This window comes from Homo sapiens, chromosome 8 (genome assembly GCF_000001405.40).
Source record: "Homo sapiens chromosome 8, GRCh38.p14 Primary Assembly".
NCBI lineage: Eukaryota > Metazoa > Chordata > Mammalia > Primates > Hominidae > Homo > Homo sapiens.
In genome coordinates, this window is record NC_000008.11 from 142110316 (window position 1) to 142136626 (window position 26311).

At 56.9% G+C, this 26311-nt stretch overlaps 4 annotated features.

Annotated features, from left to right (window-relative positions):
• Nucleotides 19755-20272: an enhancer, noted in NCBI's record as "H3K27ac-H3K4me1 hESC enhancer chr8:143211431-143211948 (GRCh37/hg19 assembly coordinates)". NCBI's record gives its function as "activates a minimal SCP1, AML or CMV promoter by ChIP-STARR-seq in primed H9 embryonic stem cells {active_cell/tissue: H9 hESC(primed)}" and the evidence as "EXISTENCE:reporter gene assay evidence [ECO:0000049][PMID:30033119]".
• Nucleotides 20273-20789: an enhancer, noted in NCBI's record as "H3K27ac hESC enhancer chr8:143211949-143212465 (GRCh37/hg19 assembly coordinates)". NCBI's record gives its function as "activates a minimal SCP1, AML or CMV promoter by ChIP-STARR-seq in primed H9 embryonic stem cells {active_cell/tissue: H9 hESC(primed)}" and the evidence as "EXISTENCE:reporter gene assay evidence [ECO:0000049][PMID:30033119]".
• Nucleotides 20790-21306: an enhancer, noted in NCBI's record as "H3K27ac-H3K4me1 hESC enhancer chr8:143212466-143212982 (GRCh37/hg19 assembly coordinates)". NCBI's record gives its function as "activates a minimal SCP1, AML or CMV promoter by ChIP-STARR-seq in primed H9 embryonic stem cells {active_cell/tissue: H9 hESC(primed)}" and the evidence as "EXISTENCE:reporter gene assay evidence [ECO:0000049][PMID:30033119]".
• Nucleotides 22677-23238: an enhancer, noted in NCBI's record as "H3K4me1 hESC enhancer chr8:143214353-143214914 (GRCh37/hg19 assembly coordinates)". NCBI's record gives its function as "activates a minimal SCP1, AML or CMV promoter by ChIP-STARR-seq in primed H9 embryonic stem cells {active_cell/tissue: H9 hESC(primed)}" and the evidence as "EXISTENCE:reporter gene assay evidence [ECO:0000049][PMID:30033119]".

Below are 26311 nucleotides of genomic sequence, written 5' to 3' on the forward strand. Positions count from 1 at the left end.
CTGACAAGCAGACCCAGCATTATGTCTCCTCCATCTGACAAGCAGACCTGGCACTATGTCTCCTCCCTCTGACCAAAAGACACAGTGCTATGTCTCCTCTCTCTGACCTGCAGACCTGGTGCTATGTCTCCTCCATCTGACAAGCAGACCCGGCACTATGTCTCCTCCCTCTGACCGAAAGACACAGTGCTATGTCTCCTCTCTCTGACCTGCAGACCTGGCGCTATGTCTCCTCCCTCTGACCAGCAGACCCAGCACTACATCTCCTCCTTCTGACCAGCAGGCCCAGTGCTATGTCTTCTCCCTCTGACCAGCAGATGGGGCATTATGTCTTTTCTCTCTGACCAGCAGACAGGGCACTATGTCTCCTCCCTCTGACCAGCAGACCTGGCACTATGTCTCCTCCATCTGATCAGCAGACCTGGCACTATGTCTCCTCCCTCTGATCAGCAGACCTGGCACTATGTCTCCTCCCTCTGACCAGCAGACAGGGCACTATGTCTCCTCCCTCTGACCAGCAGACCCGGCACTACATCTCCTCCTTCTGACCAGCGGGCCCAGTGCTATGCCTTCTCCCTCTGACCAGCAGACCCGGCACTATGTCTCCTCCCTCTGACCAGCAGATCTGGTGCTGTGTCTCCTCCTTCTGACCAGCAGATCTGTCACTACGTCTCCTCCATCTGACCAGCAGATCTGACACAATGTCTCCTCCCTCTGACCAGCAGATCAGGGGCTGTCTTTCCTATCAGCCTGGATGAGGTCATGAGGTCAGGAGCTGTGTCATTGCCCTCAAGCTAGGCACTGCCTTCTCCAAAGAGAGCACCCCCACACTTCCGCTCAGAGCCCAGACTCTGCCCACAGAGGGTGCTGGCGACTGCGGCACCGGCCCGCAGACAGATGGGGAGCAGGCCCCTGCCAGCTCTTTGGGCCTGGAGAGCTCACCAGCGTCTGATCACGGATGACTTATCTGAACCAATGAGTGACCCCGCAGCTGAGGAAACAGGAGGAGACAGTGATGCTTCTTTTTGAGAGAAGGAAACATTGCTCACAAGATGAGCCAGGAAATAACGTCATTTATTTTCGTCTCAGAGCAATGGTAAAGAAGTCAATTTCTCACCAGAGGTGCTCTAAAAGATGAAAGAGCATCGGGAGGGATGCTTTGCCGCTGCAGGCGAGTGTTCTGGCTTTCCTCTCAAAGGCACGCACGGGCCCCTGGAGCAGAGTCCCACTGTCCAGGTGCCCACCCAGGGCCCTCTCAGTCCCCCTGCACAGCGTGCCCTGGGAGGCAAGGTCAGAACCTCCTCAACCGCCACGGCACCCAAGAGACGGGCATGGCTGCCTGCACCTTCACCCTCTCGGTAGCGAAGCACAGCTCAGAGAAATGGCTCCCACGCCAACCTGAGGTGTGACCTTGAGCGTACAAGAGTCTCCTGCGAATCAACGATGCCACCCCTCGCAGAACAAGGCCCGGTCAGAGGCCTGAGTCTCACCGTTCTGTCTGAGGCCCCTGATGCTGCAGCACTTTTGGACCCCCCAACTTTCAGCTCCCTGGTCACCCTGTAATATGCACCTGTGGCCCGCCCTACTGTAGAGCCTGTTACATCTTCCATGAAGAGGACCAAGGCTCAGAGACACACAGGGACGGGTGAAGGGGCTGTGCTGCCCTCCAGGCAGCCTCTGCGCTCTAGGAGGCTTCATTTCTCCACGCACCCTCCCTCCCAGGCTACGTTCACGAGTTCCTGGCAGTCCCAGGCCCAAGCGTGGTGGCTCCACAGACTGCCAGGGAGGTTCAAAGGCTGTGGCATTTCCTCACCTCATCCTCTGCCGCTGGTATAAAGATATTACAGTATCGATTCCCAGCACTGCACGGCTTCTGGGTCCATTCATCACTGCCTGGGGCTGGAGAGCAATTATTGGGGTCATTGCTTGTCCTCCTGCAGGAGCGCGGGCCCTGGAAGCCCAGGACCTCTCTGGAGAAGGGCAGGGCCCGGAGGAGTGCAGCCAGCTGAGTGCTTCCCAGATGCCACCCAGGGGACCCCACGAAACCCCCTCAGGCAGGTGGAAAGGCCTCAGGGTGGCTGGGAAGCTAGGGCAGCTCTAGAGGACGTAGAGCTTCTGCAGCCCAGCACACGGCACAGCTGACTTCAGAGCTTGCTCACCGTGCCTGCGGGTGAATGGCCACTTCGCCGCAGGGAGGGCTGGTGCCTGCCTGGGCCACTCGGAGCTGTCCAGGTCTGCACCCAGAGCTGGCTCTTTCTCCCCACACTCCACCGTCCTGACCCTCATCGGGAGGTCAGAGCTCAGACCATGGAGCTCGAGGACCTGGAGGAGGGCTCGTTCCACAAGCGCACTGATGGTGGGGAGGAGGCCCCTCCTGCCACGCTACCTCCTTTTGGGCCCGTGAGCCTGCCATGCTCCGTCCTGCCACCACGCTCTCACCCCCTCTTCTGTCCCTGTGTGCCAGGTCCCTGTTCCTGTGCCTCTCTATTCTCAGACCTCAGTGTGTGCCCCTCTCCTCTCCCGCTCCCACCCGCTGCCCTGAGCGCAGCCACACCCACCGCAAAGGATGGGCAGATGTGGCTGCGCTGTGAGCCCAGGAGAGCGGAAATGGTTTCGGTGAGTGTGCAGCAGCCTCTGCCACACGGGGTGTCCTTGACTGGCTTTTCACAGCTGGTGCTGGGGAAAAAGAGAAAAAATGGGATCAGCAGGTTTCCTTCCAAGGTGCGCAGACTGGGCCTACCCTAAAGCAGGGGAGTCAGAGCACGTGCTCCCCAGAATAAGGGGGGTTTCCATGCAGTCCCCGCAGGACTTGCGGGCTGTGAGGGGGTGGGAGCTGCAGTCCACCCTCGCAGGGCCACACAGTGCACTCTCCCACTGTCCTGCTTCCTGCTCCTTCCCAGGGCTGCCGTGCCTTCCCAGCACCTTTCACCACTGTTGGGCAGCCCCAGACATTGGGTGAGGGAGAGAGGGGACTGTCCCACTCGGCAAGGTCCCGAGGGCGCCCGTTCAGTGAACACACTATCTAAAGCCCTGAGCTGGGGAGAGGAGAAGGGATGGGCGAGGAGTGTAATCAAGTGTTTCTAATTAAAATGGAAATCATAACCTTCCCGTGGGTGATGTGGGAATTCTGCAGCTCAGTTCGGGCTGAGGGCTACTTTCCGTGGTCAGAATTGGGGAAGGAATGGCCGATTCCCAGCTCCCAACAGGGTAGCGGGAGGCTCTGCCATCCTTCAGCCCCAGGGCAGCCCTGGCCTTCTGCGATGCCACCTTCACCATCTCCGAGCATCTTCGGGGTGTGTGGCTCATGGTCTGACCCCTGGTCTGTGGGAGCCCAACAGAAAACAACAGAAAATGCCTTGGCCATCCTGCCAGCCCACCGTGACCAGGTCCTTCACATCAGGCCTGATTCAAGAGCACGGCCTATTGCTAACAAGAGGGTCTGGGGTCTGACAACTCCCAGCCCCACCACCTACACCCCATCACCTGGGGAGGCCAAACCCTCCCTAAAGCTTTCCCCTCCGCACACAAGGACCTCACTAGGGGATGGGAGCGGCCGAAAACCCAGGCTCACGGTGACTACCAGGGCACACCTGCTGCCACCAGGCTAAAGAGGAGAAGCCACCTCTGCTTTTCAGGCCTGGGCCCACCAGCTTCTTCAGGACTGTGTTTCCTTGTCCACCTCAAGGTCCCTCGTCTGCTGATGCTGCAGGGGCTGTCACGGGGACAAGCTGCAGATCCACGGCTGTCAATGATGCATTATCTGTGAAAATAAGGACCGGACAATGTCAGCTCTCCCAGGGATGTTCTCCTGGCCGGGCCGGGGGCTGAGGGCTGCAGGGCTTTGTTATCATGCTGTTGTTACTATCGCTGTCATTGCTGGGGCCCCAGCAGCTCCCTGAGATGAGCACAGTCATTATTCCCATTTCACAGCTGCAGAAACTGGGGGCAACAGGAGGTGAGCCAGGAGGTCTCCCGGGCAGTCTTGCCAGACACAGGATTCAAATCCCTGCTTGCTGATCCTCCAGCCGTGCTCAAGAATTCCACAGGCTATAGCTATCTGGTCTGTCCTCCCAGCTCCAAGGCAGTGCCCCAGGGAGGGCTGCAGGGAGGAATGAGAAGAGAGGGAGGAAGGAAGAGCTGGGGGAGCCATGGAGGGAGAGCGGCAGAGAGGAGGCGGGGAGCTCGGCCTTCCTGGAGCTGCAGCCTGCATGCACTCCATCTGCCCTGGCCACGCCACTGGTCTAGGGGCCTGTCCCCACCATGCCCTAGACATTCCATCATCTCCTCCCACTGACCATCCCAGCCTGGTGCTTGACACACACTCAGACAGCTTTGAGAGAAGAAGGAAGAAGGGAGGGACAGAGGGAGAGGAAGGAGAGGAAATGAGCACGAGCAGACAGACATCCAAAGCCCAGGCTCACTGGGCGAAAGCAGAGCTTGAAGACCGGAAGCCCAAGCAGAGAGAACCTGGGCAGGTGCCTGAGGCCACATGGGGAGCTGCCCCTCCCGCCTCCAGCCCCAACACCACCCAGCTCTGACTGCGCCACCTGCAGCTTGGGAGGAGGAGGAGGACAGAGGGAGGGAGCTGGGCAGGGCTGGTGCCTGGGACTGTTCTCAGCTCCAGCTTTGAGCCAGGGAGACGTCTGCCTTGCACAGGCTGTGCTGGACACAGTTTTGTCCCCTGAGTGCCCCCATCCCTCCCACCCTGTTGCTTCCCAGGTGGGTGTGGCAGCTTCAGGGCAGAAAGAGGGCAGGGTGAGCCCCAGGGGACTAGGGCACCCTGAGGTTTGGGTGAACCGGAGACAGAGCCTCCTGGGGCTCCTGGGTCCTAGAGAGGAGAGTCCCCTGAGAGGGCCCCAGGGTCAGTTGCTGTGAGCCCAGTAGGTTTTCCGCCTGGTCTCTGAGCAGACAAGATGAAGCCTTCCCAGCAAGGCCAGCCCTGCCTTGCTCCCCTCGACCTCCAGGGGCAGTCAGAAGGGGACAGAGGCACCACGACAGGCCCGCCACAGACTGAGCAAGCCGGAGCACCATGCTGCCTTCCCTGCAGCTCTCTGGCCACAAGAAGAAGGGTCTGGGCTCTCCCAGGAGGCCTGGACGAGGACAGGGGTCAGGTGTCTCATCTGCATGTATGAAGGACAACAGATTCGATTAGGCAGTTCTGCAACCAACTTAGAATTGATTTGGATATAAATAGATGGCACGAAACCCATCCCAGTACACTGCAGGGCCCAGTCCCTCCCCTCAGGGTCACGCTGAAAGACGCATGAAATTATGTTCACTTTTAACCCAAGTAGTGCTATGACTCCTGACACAGATGGCCACAGCTAAGGGGGTCTCAGGACAAAGAGAGATGCAGCTGGACTCAAGCCAGGGTCCTCTCTGTCTATCTGCCTGTCTGCCTATCTATCATCTATCTCTCTATCTATCTATCTATCTATCTATCTATCTATCTATCTATCTATTATTTATCTATATCTATCCATCTATCCATCCATCTGTCCTTCCATTATCTATAGATCTATCTATATCTATCCATCCATATATTCATCTATCCACTCATCTACCCATCCATCCATCCATTCATTCATCCATTCATCCTTCTATCCTTCCATCTATCTATAGATCTATCTATCCATCCATCCATCCCTTATTCATTTATCTATTCATCCATCCATCTGTCCATTTATTCATCTATCCATCCATCCAATTAGCTATCTACCCATCCATCTATCTATCCATCTATCTAACCATCCATCCATTCATCTATCCATCCATCTATCCATCCATCCACCCATCCATCCATCTATTCATCTATCCATCCATCCAATTAGCTATGTATCCATCCATCTATCTATCCATCTATATAACCATCCATCTATCTATTCATCTATCCATCCATCCAATTAGCTATGTATCCATCCATCTATCTATCCATCTATATAACCATCCATCCATTCATCTATCCGTCCATCCATCCATCCATCCATCCATCCATCTATCCATCCATTCAATTAGCTATCTATCCACCTATCTATCTATCCATCTATCTAACCATCCATCCATTCATCTATCCATCCATTCATCTATCTATCTAACCATCCAGCTATCTATCTATCTAACCATTTGTCCATCTATCTATTCATTTATCCATCCATCCAATTAGCTATCTATCCATCCATCTGTCCATCTATCTAACCATCCATCCATTCCTCTATCCATCCATCCATCCATCCATCTATTCATCCATCCATCCATCCAATTAGCTATCTAACCATCCATCTATCCATCTATCTATCTATCCATCTATCCATCCATCTATCCATCCGTCCATTTACCTATCTATCGATTTACCTACCTGTCTATCTATCTATGTGTCTGTCTGCCCTTCTCTCTATCATCTATCTTTTCTCTGTATCATGTAAACTGTTTGTTCTTTTTCTGTTTAGCTTCAAGGGGGTGGAGAGTTAATTATTCATGAGCTGTCAAGGCCTTTGGACCCATTGATTTTGTTTCTGGTTCCCCCTTGGATCCGGTACACGGATTCTGGTTTGATAGCATTAAGTCTTTTGAATAATTAATATGGCAATTTAACCTGAGCAGAATGAGCAAATGTTACCTTCTGCTTAGGGAATAGAAAAAGAGAATTCCCTTATGGCAGTATTCCCAAGTCTGTTAATGTCACCCCAGCACTGGAGAACTGGCATCTGTCTTACAGGAAGAAACCTTCCAACTGTCCCCCCCAGCTCCTCTTCCTGAAAAGAGGGAAAGCTATGTATGTCTTTGTTCCACCCAGAATTTCAAAGGACCCTCAGGAGGCATGGACATTTTGTATCAGGGAATTATTGTCAAGTATTTGGACTTAACTACTGATGATCAGGATATTTTGTTTATGAGTTCCTTCTCCAGGGGCCACCCCTTTGTCTGCCTCTCCCAGCCAAACGCACTTGGGGACCAGGAGGAGGTGACAAAGTCCAAGCCTCAGAATGGGAGTGGTGGCCCTCAAACACATGCTAGTTATTCTTAGTTTATGCATTTTTCCAGTTTCCACCAGACATGTGTCCAAGATCAGACAGACAGGAAAGTCCAGCGATGGAAGACACTAGACGTGGTAACAGAACTAAAACTCGAAAGCAATAAAGAAAACAGACAGAAGAAACACTTTAACAGAAGACATGGGAGGCCCCACAGGGGAGCTGAGGAAGGCAGGAGGTGTCTCCTTCAGGGCCTTCCAGATCCCACAGAGACATCTTGAGGCCACAGCTACTCCGCAGCTCACGGCAGTTGGGACCCAGGCCTGTAGGCGGAGATGGGACGGGCTGGGCCCTCTGCTCCAGAGCGCAGCAGCACTCGCATCTGTGGACACTCATCATCGGGTCTTTAAAGCACAAAAGAGCGGTTCACACAGGAGAGTGGCTTCAACGTCAGTGCCACTATCACTGAAATTACTGATCTAAGTCAGTTGTTCTCAGCCTAGGGTCCATTTTGGCCCCAGGGGACAGTTGGCAAGGTCTGGAGACAATGTTGATTGTCATGACTGGAGGGAGGGGCTATGAGAATCCCGTGGGTAGAAGCCAGGGCTGCTGCTGAAAATTCTACAATGTGCAGGATGGCCCCCAGGAAAGAATGACCCAGAGATGGAGAACTTATACCGGTGTCATCACCAGGGTCCTTACAAGAGGGCGGCAGGGCAGGCAGAGAGAGGAGTAGGGGCTGTGTTGGTAGAAGACAGAGGTCGGGGTGACGCAGGAAGGGGTCACAGCCAGAGAGAGTGGCCAGGCTCCAGAAGCTGGAAGGGGCCCAGGCAGAGTCCCCCCTGCACCCCCCACCGGTGTGCGGGCTTCTGACCTCTAGAGCCGGGAGACAGAATAGCACATCCGCGTGGCTGTGAGTTTGTGGTCATTCATTACAGCGGCCACAGAAAGGAACAGGGTGACACACACAGCAAAGGTCATCCCCACCCGTGAGACGGCCCTGGGTGGCTCCATCTACCCGTAGGTGGAGAGACATCGTCCCTGTGTTCCTACTGCTCAGCATTGATCTCCTGTCCAACCTCCGATTCACGGAGCAGGTGGCCACATGCCAGATGGCCACCCTGATGTCCCTGGGCCCCTCATGCCACGCTGCTTTCACGGCCTGCCCTCCTCCTTCGCGCCCGCCACATGGGCGCGGCCCTCACCTGTCTCCTTGACCACTGCCTGCTCAGCCGGCACAATCACTCAGAACATGTCCATAGCCCAGGTGAGAGAATCTGACATGAGGTGGTCCAGGTTCCCCTGCCCCCCAGCCTGGAAACATGAGTTGTCCAGTTCCTCCGTGACTGATCTCCATTCATCCACACCTGTCGATCACCAATGCTGCCATTTACAGGCCCAAATAACCATCGCTATTGACCGAGGAGTTGCAGAGTTCAGCTCCAGGCCAGAATCCTGTGTGATTTTCCAGGCCCACCTCTAGGAACTTGTGCAGGCTCTACCCAGTAGGCCTTACCATGGGGGCTGCCTCTCTTCTCACACAGGCCGGTGCCTGGCCGGCTCTGCAGGGAGCTGCAGCAAGGACCCCAGGCCAGCCACACTCTCACACGTGTCTGCACTCCCGGTCAGGCACCTCCGTTCCGAGGCCCCCTCATCAGGGCCTTGGCTGGGCCCTGTCTGCGACGCTGGCACAGTGCTTCCCAGGCCCAGCCCTCCCCTCTCCTCCCATCCCCGGGCATGGAGGGGCAGGAGCCTTCTATGTGGGCTCCTTGGCTGTGAGATGGCCCCTCAACCCCACCGACACTGCATGTCATCTCACCCTCTCCTGGTGCCATTCTGGGGAGAAGGAGACGATGAGCACCTCTCTGTCTCTCCCTGGCACTGCTGTGCGAGCGAATTAAGGCATGACTGTTCCTCCCAGTTCTCCTTCTTGTTCCAGTCACCTCCACACCTGGCCACTCTGCGTTCAGGCTATGCTCACTCCCTGCTGCTTCCGGAACTCCAGAGACTCCTCCTAACAGAGCGGCTGCATCCATTCCTGTCTCCTCCACCCTCCGTAACTCCCCAAATGTTTCTTTCTAAAATGCAAACAGGGCCGCATCCCAAGCCCCCGACGCCACCCTGTAGAATGCTTCAAAGTCTGACATCCTTCCGCCATCTTCCACTGGTGGCCCTCCCGCCCCGCTGATGGCCAGATGCCATGGGTTGGGAGGCTGCAGGGCAGGGGCTGGAGATCTGCAGGCTGCACACTCCCACTGACTGTGGTGAGCAGCCAGCTGGAGCCCTACCGATGGATAGGGTGCAGCCTGGCTCCCTGCTGCAGTGAGGAAGCCCCTTGTGAGCTGCCTCTAACCTGCACCCAGCACTCAGCCCAGAGCTGCTGCATCAGGCCTGGCTCGCAGGAGGCTGGCCTTGCTGCCGCTCGTCCCTGCTCTCCTCCAGGTACTTCCCCTGCCGCTCCGGCTTGCGTGAAGTCTCATGTATATTTCATTGACTGCGCTTGGCATGTAATGAAAAGGTCGCCTGCTTCCATCTCTGTGACCCCGCTAGACTGCACGTGCACCCGGTAGCACTTTTCTCTCCTTGTTCCTGGTATTATGTCTGACCCAGAGTAAATTTTTGAGTGATGAGTAATTGTGGATGAATGCCAATAAGACACATGAAAGAGGAAGGTGGAGGCCCCGGTCTGGTGTCCAGTCTTCTAGAGCACAGGGCTCCGCTACCAGCCTTTTGAAGACAGCCCCACTGGGGAGGGACTTCAGAGCAGCCCCTTCCTCCAGTGTCTCCACAGGCTTGCGGTCCCAGAGATGCTCCATCACCACCCTCAGGGAGGCTGAGCTTCCTATGATGGTCTTGCTGGCTCTACTCACAGCCGAAAGCGACCCGGATTGAGCAACACAGTGGGCTGGGCCCTGGGTGAGTGCTTCACCTGTGCAGTCTCATTCAGCCTTCAGGGGAGCCCCGTGAGCTTGGGGTTCACAGCCTGTGTATTAGCCCTCTAGGGCTGCATATCAAAGTACCACAGATTTGATGGCTTAAAACCTCTTGCAGCTCTGGAGGCTGGAAGTCCCACATGGCGGTGTTCGCAGGGCTGGGCCCTCTGGAGGGTCTGAGAGCTCCCAGGCCTCTCTCCTGGCTTCGGTGCTTGCTGGCCGCCTTTGGCACCCCTGGGCCTGTAGACAGACGCCTTGCTCCGATCTCTGCCTCCATCTTCACAGGCCTTCTCCCTGTGTGCCCCTGTGCCCACACCTCCCTCTTTTCGTGAAGACACCAGCATTGGACTAGGGGCCACCCTAATGCAGTATGACCCCCATCTTAACCTAGTTACATCTACAAAGATAGGTCACATTCACAGGAACCGGGGGCCAGGACTTGGACGTCTCCTGGGGAAACACAGTTCAACCCTCAACCTGCATTTTAGAGATTTTAGAAACAAAGGCTCAGAGCCCAGGAGATTTCCCAGGAGCTGTGCCACTCAGCAGCGGCCCCACCTGGACCCCATCCTGGCCTTGCCCACTGCCCACCTTACTTGTGCTCCTTCTGGTTTATTGGGGGTACCCACCGTCTGGACCGTCCTCCACGGCTTGGCGTTCTGTCCTGGCTGATGATGAGTCTGGCATGAGTCTGGGGTCCTTTAGATAAGAACATAGTGGAATGCCGATGGTGCCTAAAGCTGACCTCCGTGGGTGGGCTCACAGGGCTGAGTGAGGGGATGGCGTCCTTCCAAGATGGATGAGGTAAGCAGGAGCCCCATCTGCAGCAGCAAACCTCCCTCACCTGCCAGGCACTGTGCGGGGCATCCTCCCTGCGTGTGGGTCTCCTCGGAACTGTCCTGTCTGTCTCCAGGTGGGAGGAATGGGGCCGGTCTGGACACAGCGGTGGAGACCAGCCTCGAAGACCCCGTGGGGGAGGTGAGAATGGGGAGTCATTGGAGCAGAGGCTGAAGAGCGTCAGGGGCCTGACTCCCAGGGTTTTCCATTTGAGTAGAAGAATTGCAGACCATCCCCCGAGGCGAACGCTGAAGCCCCGATCCACGTGAAGCCAATGGGCCCGAACTGCAGGCTTAACTCACGTTTCACAAACGAGGAAGCTGCGGCTCACGGGTGTTTTAAGAGCCGCCCACTTGAGGACCAGCAGGGCAAGCAGCGGAACCCCAGTTCTCAGAATCCCGGCTCCCGCTCCCGTCATTAATTTATCTCACGCGCTGATATGATGAATGCGTGTGGGTTTTTAAATTGTCATCAATTATTCCTCATTCTGCATAAAAATGATTAAAAATATCTTTGGAGGAAATGACCTCGTGTTAATCACTTGAATTCCCACAGCGTTTTGTGCTTTACAACACGTGAGCCTTGAGTCCCTACAGCGGCACCACTCCGTGGACAAGACTGGAGTCAGCATTGACATCCCATTTTCACAGGTGAGAAAACCGAGGGACAGGGGCACGGATGAAATTGTCCTAGGAAACAGCAGGGTCCCAACAGGGTTGGGGCAGAGGCCAGTGTCCACCCCACACCCGCTGTCCTTCCTACAGCACCGTGGGTTTCCTCACCAAAGCCAATCCCACGGGCAGCAGGACCGGCCCCAAATCCAGACCCACGGCCGCCCACACATACATCTTCCCGATGACTTCTTCCACGGGCCTCCACTGACCTGGGCTCTGGCCACGCCGCGCATGTTCAGGAATCTAATCTCTTCAGTCCTGGCACCTTCAGCCAAGCACAACCCGTGTGTATGTGTCCAGCCATGATGTGGCTGACAGCCGTGACCCCAGCGCATAAAATATACCGGCGTTTCCTGAAATAAATCGTGTCGTTTCATGGGAAATACGGCAGCCGAGCTCCGGCTACTCCTGTGCCCCGATATCCTCTCTCTATCGCTCACTTGAAGCAAGAATATCCTAATTCTGACACGAAACTGTGAAAACGCAGGATGGGAAGGCAGAGGGGGGTGAGAGCTTGTACAGAAGAGGCGCCATTCATCACAGTAAAGGACCATGGGCAACACGATTTATTTTCAGATTCCTCCTACCTCTAAAATATGACCTGCCTCGGCGGGATGGGCAGAGAGCGGGGCAGACGGAGTTCCCTATGGTCATGGCAGCACTTGGATAATTTCGTATCACCCGCCCCCAGTACACACACACGCACGTGCGTGCACACACATACACTTGCACACTTGCACTCAGAGCTGGCTATTGATTTGTGTCTGAGTCACTGACAAGAGCAAAACTTTGTGTAAGAACAAAAATGATGCAATGCAGATGTTAAGACATGATTCCACCTTGCCTGCCCCAGACCCACAGCCCATGTGCACACACACGTGCACACACACCCACTCACACTCACTATAATCCTGGTCCATCTGATGGTGAAGTACCCAGACCCACAGCCCATGTATGCGTGCACACACACTCACACACACACACTCACACGCCACAATCCTGGTCCATCTGATGAAGTATGCAGACCCACAGCCCATGTGCACGTGCACGCACACACACACTCACACACTCTCTCACACACACACACACACGACAATCCTGGTCCATTTGTTGGTGAAGTACCCAGACCCACACCCGATGTGCACACACACACACACATTCACACACACACACACACTCACACCCCCATGCACACACACACCTCAATCCTTGTCCATTTGATGGTGAAGTACCCAGACACACACCCCATGTGTGCACACACACATGTGCGCACACACACACACACGACAATCCTGGTCCATTTGTTGGTGAAGTACCCAGACCCACAGCCCATGTGCGCACACACACACTCACACACACATACTCTCTCTCTCTCTCACACACACACACACACCACGATCCTGGTCCATTTGATGGTGAAGCAAACTTGCCCATCTTTGAGTCCAGCCTCTACTCAGCAGTGTGCCTTTTTGTGGCTTCTCATCAATCAATCAATCAATAGTGAGCACCGATGGATGTCTTCTCTGCACTGGGAACCCGATGGGCCCCAGCGTGCAACACGGAGTCCCTGCTCTTCAGGACCCCAGCTTGGGGGAAGGTGAGGCCAGGTGAGAGCATGAAAACAGCACACAATTAAAACAAACGTTTTCCAAGACACGGGCTTTGCGTCATGCACATCACAGGGACTCAATCAGTGGGTTGTGCTGGCGGTGGGGGGCACCTGGAATCTCTTGCACAGGAAAGTGGGCAAGGGGCCACTGCCTCCAAGGCCTCCCCACACATCAGTTCGTGCAGAGCGCATGGTCCAGGGATGCTGGTTAGCCCCCATAACCCCGCCGGCCTCACCCCCAGGGGCTCCCAGGGTCCCCGGTCCCCAGCTGCTGGAGAGGGACCGGGGTCGTGCTGCCTCCCTTGCAGCTGCGTTGACAGAGGACCCGGCCGGCACTCTGTAAATGTTGGTGGACGATGACACCGGCTCCCTCAGCCTGCTGATTTTTCTGTGTCCAGCGCCGGGGCCTGGATGGGAGCTGTCAGAGGAGTGATGAGCAGTGTCTTCTGGAGTAAGCGGAGGGCCTCGGAAAGATGGTTTACGATCTGCAGCAAGGGGATTTTTATTTATTTATCTATTTACTCCCTGCCTTGTTCAAAAAGGATTTAAGGCAGCTTATGAAGATACATAAAGGAGAACAAAGAAACATGGATGAGAAGGGGTGGGAGGATGAAGATGAGAGCAGCAAGGAAAGGGCAGGCAGCTAGCAGGTGCTGCCCAGAGGCCAGGGCCCCAGCCACCCTGGGAGCCGTGATGCCCATGGGGACTCAGAGCCACCCTCGGCCTCTCTGAGCTCACTGCCAGGGGACTCTGTTTCTCAGGCTGGGACTTCTTTGGTTTCTTAGAATTCTAATGTGTTGTCCATGCACACACACCCACGCACACAGACATACACATGCATGCTCAGCCCCCACACACCCCACCGACGAAGGGGCCTCCCCATTGGGGCCTGGGTTTTATTAACGCACAGAGGCACCAGCTGTGACTGGGAAACCCTCATGGTTAGGAGTCCTGCCCACCTGGCCTGGGGGTCTCTTGCTGGTTGGGTGGTCTTGGGCACAGTGTTCCAGTCGTAAGCCCCTTAGGAGAAGGAGGCCATCTCCTCACTCGGCCCTGTGAGCCCACGGAGCCCATCCACGGAGGCCAGCTTTAGGCGCCATCGGCATTCCACTGTGTTCTTATCTAGAGGACCCCAGGCTCATGCCAGGCCTCGGTAGGCACAGATGCTCATGACCTTCACACCAGGCCCACTTCTATTCACCCACTCCCTCCTTACTGCAGTGGCTGGCGTGGTGTCCCCGAAAGGACAAGGCCATGTCCTAAGCCCTGGAACCTGTCAATGTGACCTTCTTGAGAAAAAGGGTCTTTTCAGATGTAGTTAAGAGAAGGATCTGGAGATTATCCTGAATTCAGGATGGCCTTGAATCCAATGACGGGCGTCATGATGAGACAGAGACGACACAAACACACAGACGGAAGACGCCCGGGTCAAGGACAGAGGCAGAGATGGGGGAGGGGACAGCCAGAGCCCAGAAACCCCTGGGGTCCCCTGAGGCTGGAGGAGGCCACGAGGGAGCCTCGTGGGAGCTTCAGAGGGAGCAAGGCCTGGCCCACCCCTTGGTTTCAGACTTCTCATCCCCAGAATCATAACAGAATACATTTCTGTTGTTTTAAGCCACCCATTTTGTCATAATTTGTTAGGGCAGCCACAGGGAACTAACACGCATCCTTAGCATGTTGTTTATAAGTAATAAGCTCGCATAAACCCGCCAGCGCTGTGGGGCTGTGTGCTACCGGCAGCCCGCACTGAACCAGCTCCTGTATTCTGCTCTCCTGCTCCCCTACCCAAGGTCATCTGCCTTCCAATTTGTCGTTTTTGCCAATTAAAGGGATGTAATTGCATCTCCCGTGACTTTGACGCACCCTCCCTGGCCGCCGGTGGTGGGAGTGTGTCTCAGCCCTCCCGGCTGCGTCTCCCCTGCGGAGCAGCTCAGCCTCTTCCTGCCCTTCCTTCCATGGGGCCCTTTGCGTGACGCTGCCTGTGCACTGGGGCGTGGATCCTTCTTCACTACGCTTGCAGAAAATATCTTCTCCAAGTTCGTAAGTGGTCTCCTCACTTTCTTCTGATGAACAAAGTTCACATAAGGTGCAAGATTATGAGCAAATGAATGAATGATTTTCAGTCCCCAATTTCCCACTCAATTATCCCCTGACCCACGGGGCATGTCACTTAAACTCAGAGGGACCCAGGTTCCTTAACGTCAGCACAACCACCTGGACCCGACCCTCCCTCCCTCGGCCTCCCCGGCCCGACACTGACGCTGTAAGATCCCCTGTGTCCACCTGGGGAAGAGCCGGGAAGATTACAGGGGCTTCTGACACAAAGCAATTTCTAAGCCTTTTTAAATCCTTCCTGGAACACGGCAGAGTATAAATAAATAAATAGTTCCAAAGCGATTTCCATCTACCCTCCTCCAGCTGGGAATCTTTCAAGCACCCTGGCCCACAGCACCCGAAATGGTTGCGCTTGTCTGGGTGCCACTCAGCCCTCCACAGAGGAACCCAGGCCCTCCCGGGTGCCCAGCTCTGCAACTCGGGAGCAGGAGTGTCTCCGCAGCCTGGCGCCGGGAGCGAGTCAGCTCTGCAGACAAGTAATCTCTTTATGGCCTATTTCGTTGTGAATCGTCACCAGACAACTATTAATCTTCAATCATACTTTTATGAAGTGTTTGTTTTTCTTTTCCTCCCTCTCTCCCCAAGACTGGGAATATCAATATAGCAGCTGTCACGGGTCGTTACCAACGGCATCTTCCCCACTATTATGGCCAAATAAAGCCAGATAGAGAGAGACTGGGGGCCCGGTCCAATCGACAGCTTATCTGGGCATCTGAGGGAGCCATCCGGCGCAATGATATTGTGCTGTCAGATCTGGGTATGTATCTGCTCCATGAACAAAGGTGGCGACCAGCATGACAGATGGTCTGCCACGTCTCTGCGGAGCCGCCTCCCGCATGCAGCCACGCTTGGTGCCCATACAGATAGGCGGCCCCAGGTGCCTCCTTCCACGCCTGTCTCAGCCCAGGGCAGGGGATCTCCTGAGGGGAGAGGGCAGATAGGGAACATGGGGAACTGGACAGACGGCAGTCTGGGTGGCCTCTGCCACCCTTTCGACCCTCCCCACAGCACCTCTTGGAGGCAGATGAGCAAAGAGAGTTGGGCACCGCTCCTCTCTCAGAAGCTGCTTCAGGGGTTCAGTGAGACAGAAAGAGCCCCAGCATATGCAGGAAGCAGGCACAGAGCGAGTGGTCAGCTCGCAGGAGAGGAAGAGGGACGGCGGTGGGAGCCATGGAGCAGGTGTTGTGGAGTCAGGTGTCCCTGGGGTCACGGTGACTGGCCAGGCGCGGGGAGCCAGGAGGCACACGGTCCTGGGCTCTGGCAGGGCTGGAGTGCTCGGCACGGCCGGGAGGGTGGGCTTGTCTCACGGGGCTGCCACAGCAAAGTGCCACGAACTGGGTAGCTGACAGGAGGTCTTTACTGTCTCCCGGCTCTGGGGGCCAGAACGCTGACAGCAAGGTGCCAGCAGGGTGGGCCCTTCTGGAGGCTCCGGCCGGGATCTGTTCCAGGCCACCCCCGCCTTCCGGCCATCCTCAGCTTGGCTCCTGGACACACTGTCCAGTCTCAGCATCTGTGGCTACTTGGTGCACTCCCTGCGTTTGTTCAGATTTCCCCTTCTTATAAAGACACAGCCACTGGATTAGGGTACAACCGCTTCCCTAGTTTGACGACATCTGCAAAGACTCTTCCAACTCAGGTCCTGTTCACAGGTTCTGGGGGTTCAGACGCCAATCAATTTTTGGAGGGACACAATTCCACCCACAGCAGAGAGCCGCTGACTGTGCCCCAGGCGCTGGCCCCAGGGTGAGAAGGGCTTTCCTGGGCCTCCTCCTCCAGCTGGCCTCAGTCTCTGCTAAGGCCCAGCACAGGCAACCTCTCCCCAACTCCAGGAACCTGCTCTGCCCATCCCCAGTGGGAGCCCTGGCTCTCTGCTCCCCGCGTTCCCTCCAGTGAAGCCCACGCCATTGTCAGCTGCACCGTCCTGTCTCCGCGCCCTGAGAGTTGCACACGGGGAGTGGAAACAACACCCACGGGGACTGGACAGATGCAGCCGGGGCCCGGAGAATGGGAGTGGGGAGGACGACCTCAGAGGGCCTCCGAGTCTGTTCCTGGAGTGTGCAAAAAGCTGAATTTAAGAAAGCCACACCGCAGCAACATGGAACACTGTGTCTGAGGGCCACAGGCAGCCCGTGGACAAGGAGGCTTCAACCTTGAGGGTAAGAGAGAAAGAGAGAGAGATACTGAGAGGGAAAGAGAGAAAGAGAGAGAGAGAGGGAGAGGGAGAGAGGGAGGGAGAGAGAGAGGGGGAGACGAAGAGAGGGAGAGAGAGGAAGAGAGAGAGAGAGAGGGATGGAGGGACACAGAGAGAGAGAGACAGGGACATAGAGAGAGGGAGAGAGGGAGAGGGAAAGTGAGAGAGGAAGAGACCACACTAAGACAGGGGAGACAGGGGTCTCTTCTCCCTCCTGTAGATCTCCAGGTGTGGCCAAATGCATTGAACCCTTGGACCAGAGACCCCGACAGAGGGGTCTGAGATACACAATGAGTGGACAGGAGTCTGCCTCACACCAGGACCTGTGCTGAGTACGTGTGCCAGGCACACCCAGCCACCTGCCCAGAGCCTCAGTCCCTCAAGGGGAGCCCCAGGCTGCTCCTCCTTCCTGTGGGGGATGGTGCCGTCTGCAAACAGACTTAGTCTACCTGCCGACTAAGATGGGGCAATCCTGAAAAGGTGAGGAGGACATGGCCGGAAGTGGGGCCTGTCCCCTGCATATGCTGAGCATGGAGCTTCCCCATTGAGCTCAGATGCAGGCTCAAGAGTCATTCCCAGCACAGCTCTGCAGCCAGCCACAATCAATCAGTCAGCCCGTAGGGCCAATCCGTTTGCACCCTACACCCCACACTATCCAGTGTATGGGCCGAGGGCTGCGGGGGACGCAGGCCAGGAGAGGGCCGGGCGCAGCAAACAGTGTGCGCTGAGACCCTGGGCTGTCCCCGCTGTGGAGCCCACGTGCAATCGATTTGAGCAGGGCCACGAGGCAGGCAGAGAGGGCTGGACATGCAGAGGCCACAGAAGCTGGGTGGCGTCTATGGCTCGAGGCGGTGCTGCCGAGCGAGGCCATTGTACCTGAGCAGTGAGGGCCCCTGGGGTGTTTGGGTGGGATGCAGGCAGGCAGGACACATCCTGGGAAAAGAGCAGGAGGGTGGATGGGCCCGGTGGGCTCAGACAGTCGGGCCTCGCAGCCACAGGACAAGCAGAGGAGCCCTTGGGAGCCAGGCCTAGTGGCACGGCCCACCCCTCCCAGGAGCTGTTCCAGCCACCAGGGCAGGGAGATGCTGGATTTGCTCTTGTTCCGGCAAGCAAACCGTCCCTAAGGGTCTTGGCCAGTGACACATGAAGCCCAAACGCACCACTGCCCAAAACCTGGACAAGCTCCCTCCACCTGCCTGTCACTTCTCGTTCCATAAGACTTTAATTCCCACAATGACGCCGCTGCCCCAGGCAGATGGACTCCGATGCGGTCACAGCCAGCTCACGGCCTGCTGGAAGCAGCGAGAGGGGCAGATGCCGGGCAGGTGCCTGCTGGGAATCCCCACCCAGACCCGCAGAGGGAGCAGGAGAGCGGGATTTCAGAAAGAGGAGCTGGGTTGCCAACGCCTAGGCCCAGACCCAGCACCCAGAGCAGCTCAGGCCCTCAGGGGTCCATCAGCTCCTCCATCTGCAGACGGAAGCCTGTCCACTCACAGCGCAGCTGCAGGCCAGGAACTCACTACACGGACCTCGGAGCCCAAACAGGAAGGGGCTGGAGAGGGACCTGGCCCCACGTGGAGCCCTGAGCCCTTTGGGAATCTCACCTGGGGACACGCTCCGGGGGCTGCGTCCACCTGTCGGGCCCCACACACATCTTCATCCATTGTAGCCAAGAGAAAAACACGGAATCCCAAAGTCGGAGGGAACCCGGAACAGGAAACAACGCACAGGCTCAGGACAGGGGACACCGGTGTGTGTGACCCATTGCTGCCACCCACCAGCCGTGTGGCCCTGGGGACCCCCATCGCCCTCTGTGCCTCGGCGTCCTCGTCTGCAGTAGTGACTGCCTCCGGGTACCTGCTGGGATAGAGCGGCATCGTGCGTGGAAGGGTCCTTTGTGGACTCTAAGCTGGGCTGGCAGCTGGAGGGAGTGACTGGCTCTCAGGAGAACCCAGGAGCACTGAGCTGCGGCTGGGGCCGGGCTCCTGTGGAATCACAGGTAATTCTCCCAGAAGGGCCGCGTTATCTTCCCTTTCTGAATGCAGAAGCTCAGGCTCAGAAAGGTCAAATTATCTGCTCAGTGTCAGAAAAGGCTGGGTGCTGGGCAGGCTTCCACTATGACGACGCTTTGTAACAAGTAACCTACAAACTGCGATGACAACAGACCAAGCTTCCTTTCTCCCAGGTCTGCAGGTGAGCCCGGCCCTCCCTCCAGGCCCCTGTGCACTCAGGTCCACCCCATTGTCTCTGTCGTGGGACCCGCGGCTGCCAGGCTGGCTCTTCTCTCCGCGCATGACGACGGTGTGGAGGCCAAGCCCGACAACCAGGCCGAGGGACAGACCCCGTCATGCCTGACAGCCTGTGGGTCAAAGCCACTCACAGGCTGAGCCCAGTGTCAATGACTCAGGAAAAAGCGCTCTGCCTCCTCCGGCAGGAAGCATGGGCAGAGTGTGAAGTGCGGTCCAGACGCAGGGAGGGAGCGACAGGCTGCAGACCAGACGCCACCCAGCCGTGGTAAGGACACAGGCAAGGGCCAGATGCACATCCACTTGGCTCCAAGAACACGTTTTTCTCTGAACCAAGGCACCTCTGAACCAAAGCTTCTCCTTTGTGGGGGGGAGCTGAGACTTGAACTCTGCCCCACAGCTTCCAGGGAGCACTCTGCCACCCCCACCCCCAGCTTCCAGGGAGCACTCTGCCACCCCCCCAGCTTCCAGGGAGCACTCTGCCACCACCCTACAGCTTCCAGGGAGCACTCTGCCACCCCCCACAGCTTCCAGGGAGCACTCTGCCATCCCCCACAAGAGTCCCTGCAGCCAGCAGCACGCTGAGGTCTGCGCCTGCCACCAGTGCCCCCCCAGGTCTCCAGCAGTGGAATGTGGGCCCCTCTTCCTCATCTCCCGGGCTCTGGCCGAGCCATCCTCCCGGCCCAGCCCTGCAGTCCCATCCCAGGGCTAAGAGGGAGCCATGGTCATGCCCTGACGTGCCCATGGAGAGGACAGAGGGAGCAGCGGCTTGCCCACCAGCTGTGGACTTGATGCTCCCCACAGCCCTGTAGACTGGGGGTCTCACCAGGCCCCACACGCTCTTGCACATGGGAAGCTTTTAGTTTTCGAGAAATGGACGCAAAACAAATAAAGAACAAGGAAGCTAAGGTCCAGAAAAGGGACTTTTTGGCCAAATGTATGCAGCCGGTCAGCTGTCCCGGCTCCGGCAGCCCTGCACCTCCCGCAGGACTCCTCACAGGGCCCTGTCCTCGCACATTTCCAAGGTGTGAAGGTCCTGCCAGGCGTGTGCACGTGTGGATGCATGTGTGGGAGTGTATGTGCTGTGTGTGCATGTGTGCGTGTGTGTCTGCATGTCTGCATATGTACTGTGTGTGCTTATGTGTGAGATGTATGTGTTTGTGATGTGTGCACACACACGTAGGCAGTGCAGAGAGAAGAGTCAGGGGACACGTCAATGTGGGAACACTCAGAAGCTCCCCCGCAGAGATCATGTAAGGGAGCAGCGCTGGGCTCAGCTAAACAAAGGCTTCTGTGACAGCCCTGTGTCTCCTCTGATGCCCACTGAGGTATGAAATTAAGTCCAGTGCTGCTACTCAGCCAAACTGATTACCTGTGCTCCAGCCGCAAGGGACAGGGACTTGTTGAATTTGCCGCCCCAACCCCCAAAAGGTTACATTCATTGTGGGGACCCTCCACGGCTCGCTCTGTGGCTGTCAGTCCACCGGGCTGAAGCATCCACATAGCCGACAAGCCTGACACGACAGGGCGTGGCTCTTGGCCCACAGTCCCATATTTTTCCGGGGCCTAAAGGTGCTCCAGGCCTCATTAGGTCCTGAGATATGCAGAGGCGGAAGCCCCAGGCCTCGCTGTCAGGGAAAACAACCTCAGCCCACTCCCAAGTAACTGGGGCATCGGCTGAGCAGCCGAAAGGGATAGACAGGGATGAGGAATCCCGGCAGTGACAGGGGAGCCAGGGGTGAGCCGGGTCAGGAGAGCAGAGAGAACGGGGCCCAGGGATGTGCTGGCCATAGCAGGGGTAGTGGCAGTGGCTGGGACCTCTGGGTGTCCCCAGCAGCCACCACGGTGATGAGCCTCCCTCCACCCTGGAGTGGACAGATCTCCTGGGCTGTGCTGAGGTTGGTGTCGGCAGCTGGGGCTGGAGACTCCAGAAGCCACTAGCCACAGGGTGCTGTCGTCCAAACAAGCTAAAGAGAAGAGGAAACCCCCCGGGCCGGCCCCCACCTTCCCTCCTGTGCCCAGCAGCTCTCCGGAGGCCATGCTGTGGAGATGGAATCCCATTGTTTTTCTTCTTTCAGGAAATCACACTGCTGTTTTCAGGTGTTATGTTTATTGCTAGCAGTGTGTTTGAAGGATAGAAAAAAGTCACAGTAGTGTGATTAGGAACAAATTTGATTACAATTATGAATTCTTAGTGGATGTTTGGAAAACTCCACATTCTATCTAGACATTTTCGTGTTGCACTAGTGGCCCGTCCACCTCCTACCAAAGACTTCTGTCCGGTACGGTGTCAAAGATGCAACGTTTATGTGACGCGTCTTATTTTGTTGCAAGAGGGAAACATTCTGCAAAGTTGACATTTGTGATAATATATTATGTCAGGTGAAATAGGCAAGAAGTTAATTAAAGGCAGAGAGTTAATTAATGAGATCCAGCCCACATTAGCAATCATTACCTCATCTGAGAAGAGTAATTAGAGTGGCGTTGCAGGAGTTGCTTTATTCTCCAAGGTGGCGTGTTGACATATCGCATAAGTCAGTTCATGTTGGAGGGTAACTCTCTCTCCACGGAGCAGCTGGGACAGCGAATGGATCAACTGTGGCAACTGGGCTTTGAGGCCGCAGCAGCCCTTGCAAAGCTCCGTGTTTGATGGAACCAGGCCACCTGTAAGCAGCCAGGGACGTGCAGAGACAGCCTGATGCTGGCTTTAGCACTGGGACAGGGACCGAGAGGGCCAGCTGCAGTCTGGCCCCGGGAGCTTCCCAGCTACTTGGGAGATCAGGAGGGCAGCAGCTCTGACCAGCATCTGTTCCCTGCATAAGTATTACTAGCAACACTTTCAGTCTCAGACTACCCCAATTTGGCCAATCAATGGCATGGTGGCTCTAGAGATAGGAAGCGCAGGCTTAACCGTCCGCTGCATGAAGACAGAGCTTCCTGCCTGTTTCCCACATGGATGAGTCCCGAGTGCCTGGGGCAGTGCCTGATGCTGGGCAGAGGCTTGGTGACAGGCAGGTTGAGTAGGGGGCAGGGCACTGCCCGGCTGGGGAAGCGAAAGCCACCGCTCCAAGGAATTGCTTCGTCTCCCCGGGCCTCAGCTCTGTCATCTGTGAAATGCGGACTGGCAGCGTCCACCAGGCCTGGCAGCCTGAGGCTCAAGGTGTGGATTCGGTGAGTTCATGTCTGTGAAGCTCCCAGGACACGCTGCACGCAGCCGTGAGGAATGTCAGCCTGACCGAATCCACGGGACTCTCGGCTCCTGGAGTCAGGACAGACCCTGCATCACCCTGGCTCCTCTGGGTTCCCGTGTGGTGCCCCGAGGTCGGGCTTAGCACAGAATGGCTGAGGGGCCCAGGCGTGGTGCAGAGCTGCGGAGAGAGCTGCCCCACAGATGGCCGGAGAACCAGGCAGCATCCTCTGAAAGACAGCGCTCCAGCTGAGGCTCAGAAAAGACAGACGGATACAGGAGACGCCAGAGAAGTGAATGGAGTTTGCAGAAATGTCTGCGGCTGCAGCTTGGAGGGCACAGCCAGTCCGGCAGGACAGTCTGAGGAGCACCCCGGGTGGGGGTGGGGACAGCTGGAGAGCCGGGGCTCAGGTGGGGCCAGGGCAGTAAATAGTGGGTGGTGTTGGTCCCCATTTTATGGATGAGAGAGCTGAGGCTTGGCAAGCCTAAGCAGTTCCTTTGAAGGCTCGGGAAGGGCCTTGAGCCGGGAAGAAAGCTCTGGCCTTATTCTGTGAGTCCAGGGGAGCCATAGAAGGTTCTTGAGCAGGGGAGTGGCTTTGGCAGCTACCTACTTAGAACAGTCCCTGCAGGGGCCTCAGAGACTCACTCCAGACCTCCCTCTCTAGAAACGGGAAACGTCTACCCTTTGCAGGTGGCGGTGCTCTGTTCTGGACCACACATGTGGACTTCTGTAGCACACGGCGCTCTTCCAGACACTCAGACCAAAACAGGTGACATCCCACAGAGGGTCAGATGGTGCAGGACACACAGCATGTGGGGAAATCACCTCATATGTCAGAGGGGACACCTGGTGTGGAAAAAACAGCCAGGGAGCTGCCCAGAGGGCTGGGGGGCTGGGGAGGGCTGGGGGGCTGGGGAGGGCTGGGGTACATTTGAGGATTGGAGGTGGAGAAGGCACTGGCCACGTGAGCTGGGGAAGAAAATGCAGGGGCCATGGCTGAGTAGACTCCGTATGGTTAAGGCCCATATGGAGGGACCCAGGGGTCAACAGTGGGGGCCAAGTTCGGGGTCATGGGAAGGGGCTGTGAGCCAGGGAGCCAGGGAAGGTGGCCCTCATGGCAAGGGTGGAGCAGGAGAGCCCTGGCCTGATGCTTGGCTGGAGCACGCTGGCTGCTGGGGACAGGTGATGGCCAAGGAGCCCAGACAGAAGCTGCTGCCACAGTCCAGGAGAGGTATGCTGGGGACTCAGCCTGGGGGGACAGAGGCCTGGGAGGAAGTGGTCAGACTGGACATATCTGAAGGCGGGATGGCGTGGGGCGTGGCTTCCAGCCGCGAGTATTCTAAGCTTTCTCACCCTGGGTGCCCCCTCTGCTCACCTGCTGTGTCAGAGCCGTGGTGCAGGCTAAGAGACCCAAGGCCACCAGGACCCGCGTGCACGGGCCATTTGGCTCTGCACAGAACCGGTCTGAGCCGTGGACCTGGAATTCTCTAACCCCAAGGGACTGCAGCTTTCCCATGTCAGTTCAGCCACCTGTGACGTCTTGCTTTGGTGACAGTGTCTCTCTTTAGCAGGAAAATAAACCTTTAGTTCCGATCTGTCATCATCCATTTGTGGGTGACATCACAGAAGTTATTTATCATTATTAGAATTGGGGACCTCCAGGTGTGGCTGTTCCTAGATGGGGCATTCCCCCTCCTCCCAGCTCTGGGGCTCGATTTCCATCTGAAGCCCCGACTCCACAACCAGGCAGCTGGGGTCTCACCCTTAACACTGAGGGAAGAGCGTTCCACAGAGGGAACAGCCAGCGCAGGAACCCCGAGGCCGGGCCTCTGAGGAGCTGGAGGAGGCCCCATGTAGCGGGCTCTGCTGGGAGGCCCCAGAATGACTAGGCAAGAGCTTGTGCATTCACCAGAATTAACCCTTTCTGGCCAAAGTGAGCCAGAAATCACAGGTCCCCAAGCGCTTTCAATGCAGATAGCAGATCAGGGCTCAGCATGGCCAAGGCTCCAGGTTTCTGGATCCTTAAAAACAAATGGATGACAGCTCTGTGTAATTAACCATATCTGATAATTAGAGCTTGAACTGTGCAGGCAGCACAGACTGTGGACTCTTCCAAAGTAGCAGCAGACACAGACACGCACACACCACACACACACACTCTAGCAGTAGACACAGACACGCACACACCACACACACACACTCCAGCAGCAGACACACACACACACACACACACATGCACACATTACACGCACACACCCATGAACCCTGGGCGCTCTCAGCAAGGCGACCTCAGGGGCACTGGAAGCCCTGGAGGAAAGGGACGGCACCTTCCTGACATCAGGGAGAAGCAACAGCCCATGCGCAAAGGCTGCAAGAGAGAGACAGAGAGAAAGAGACAGAGAGAGGAGAGAAAGACAAGGCTACTGGGCAGCCCCCACCCCTGCACAGGGCTGGCCGGCCTCCCGTGGCCCGACCTCCTGAAGGACAGTGCCTCCTCTCGGTCATCAGAACCTGCTTCCCCTGGGTCCTGGCCCTCCTGTGGCCTCTTCTCCCCTTTGCTGTCCCAGCAGCACTGCTGTACTCCCCAAACCTACAGCAGCCTTCACCTGGGGCCCTCTGGGGCTGGCCCGCTGACCAGAGCCCCACTCCCACTCAGGCCTGGGGTGCCGGCCCTCCTGCCCCTCCCTGAGACGCCCTTGCTGCCTGGCCAGAGAGGCCTTTGGCGCCCATGGCAGATCCTGGGCTTGGTCCAGCACCACCCCGGTACGGGACACGGCCACCTCTGCCTTGCCCTCCCATGGCCCCGTGAGCACTACCCGCCCTGGACTGTATGTCAATGACGAGGTCCCAGGCCCGGGACTTGGCCAGCCACAGCCCCCACGTCACAGATGTTTTCACACCTAGGCCCTGTTCCCTCCTTGTCCTGAATGAACACAAGGGCCTCCTGCCCCAGGGCCTTGGCATGTGCTGCCCTGGCTTCCTGGAGCCCTTCTCCCCAGACCTCTGCACGGCTCACTTCCTGTCACTCAGCGCTCAGCCCAGGTGCCCTCCGCAGAAAGCCGTGTCCCGCTCGCTACCCATCTGAGGAGGGCCCCGCCCCGCTGGCGCTTTCCACCTGTGGCCTTGCCCGACTGTCCTCAGCACTCCATCCACCCAGCCGCTCCTCCGGAACCTAAGCTCCGAAGCCAGGCCGTGCTCTCTTCCCAGCGCCGCTTCCGCATCTCCCACTTGAAGAGCAGGGAAGCACTCGTCGCATCTCGCCAGGGCCACGACGATTTGCTCACCGTGAAAGGACTGATTGACTGTGTGAATAACTGAACACGTGAGTGGATACATCACCAGGACTCGCTTCCTGAATGCACTTTGCTCACTCTCCCACCAGTCAGTGTCCTTCCAAAATTCAGAAGGGCTCAACCCAAGGACCCCATCCTCTGTGGGTGCCTTCACCCCGAGGCTTTGTTCCACCAGTCCGGGGACAGCCCCTCACCTATCCCCAACCTCCAAGGCGAAGCTCGCCACGGGCTGTGTTGCTGTCTGTATCCCCCAA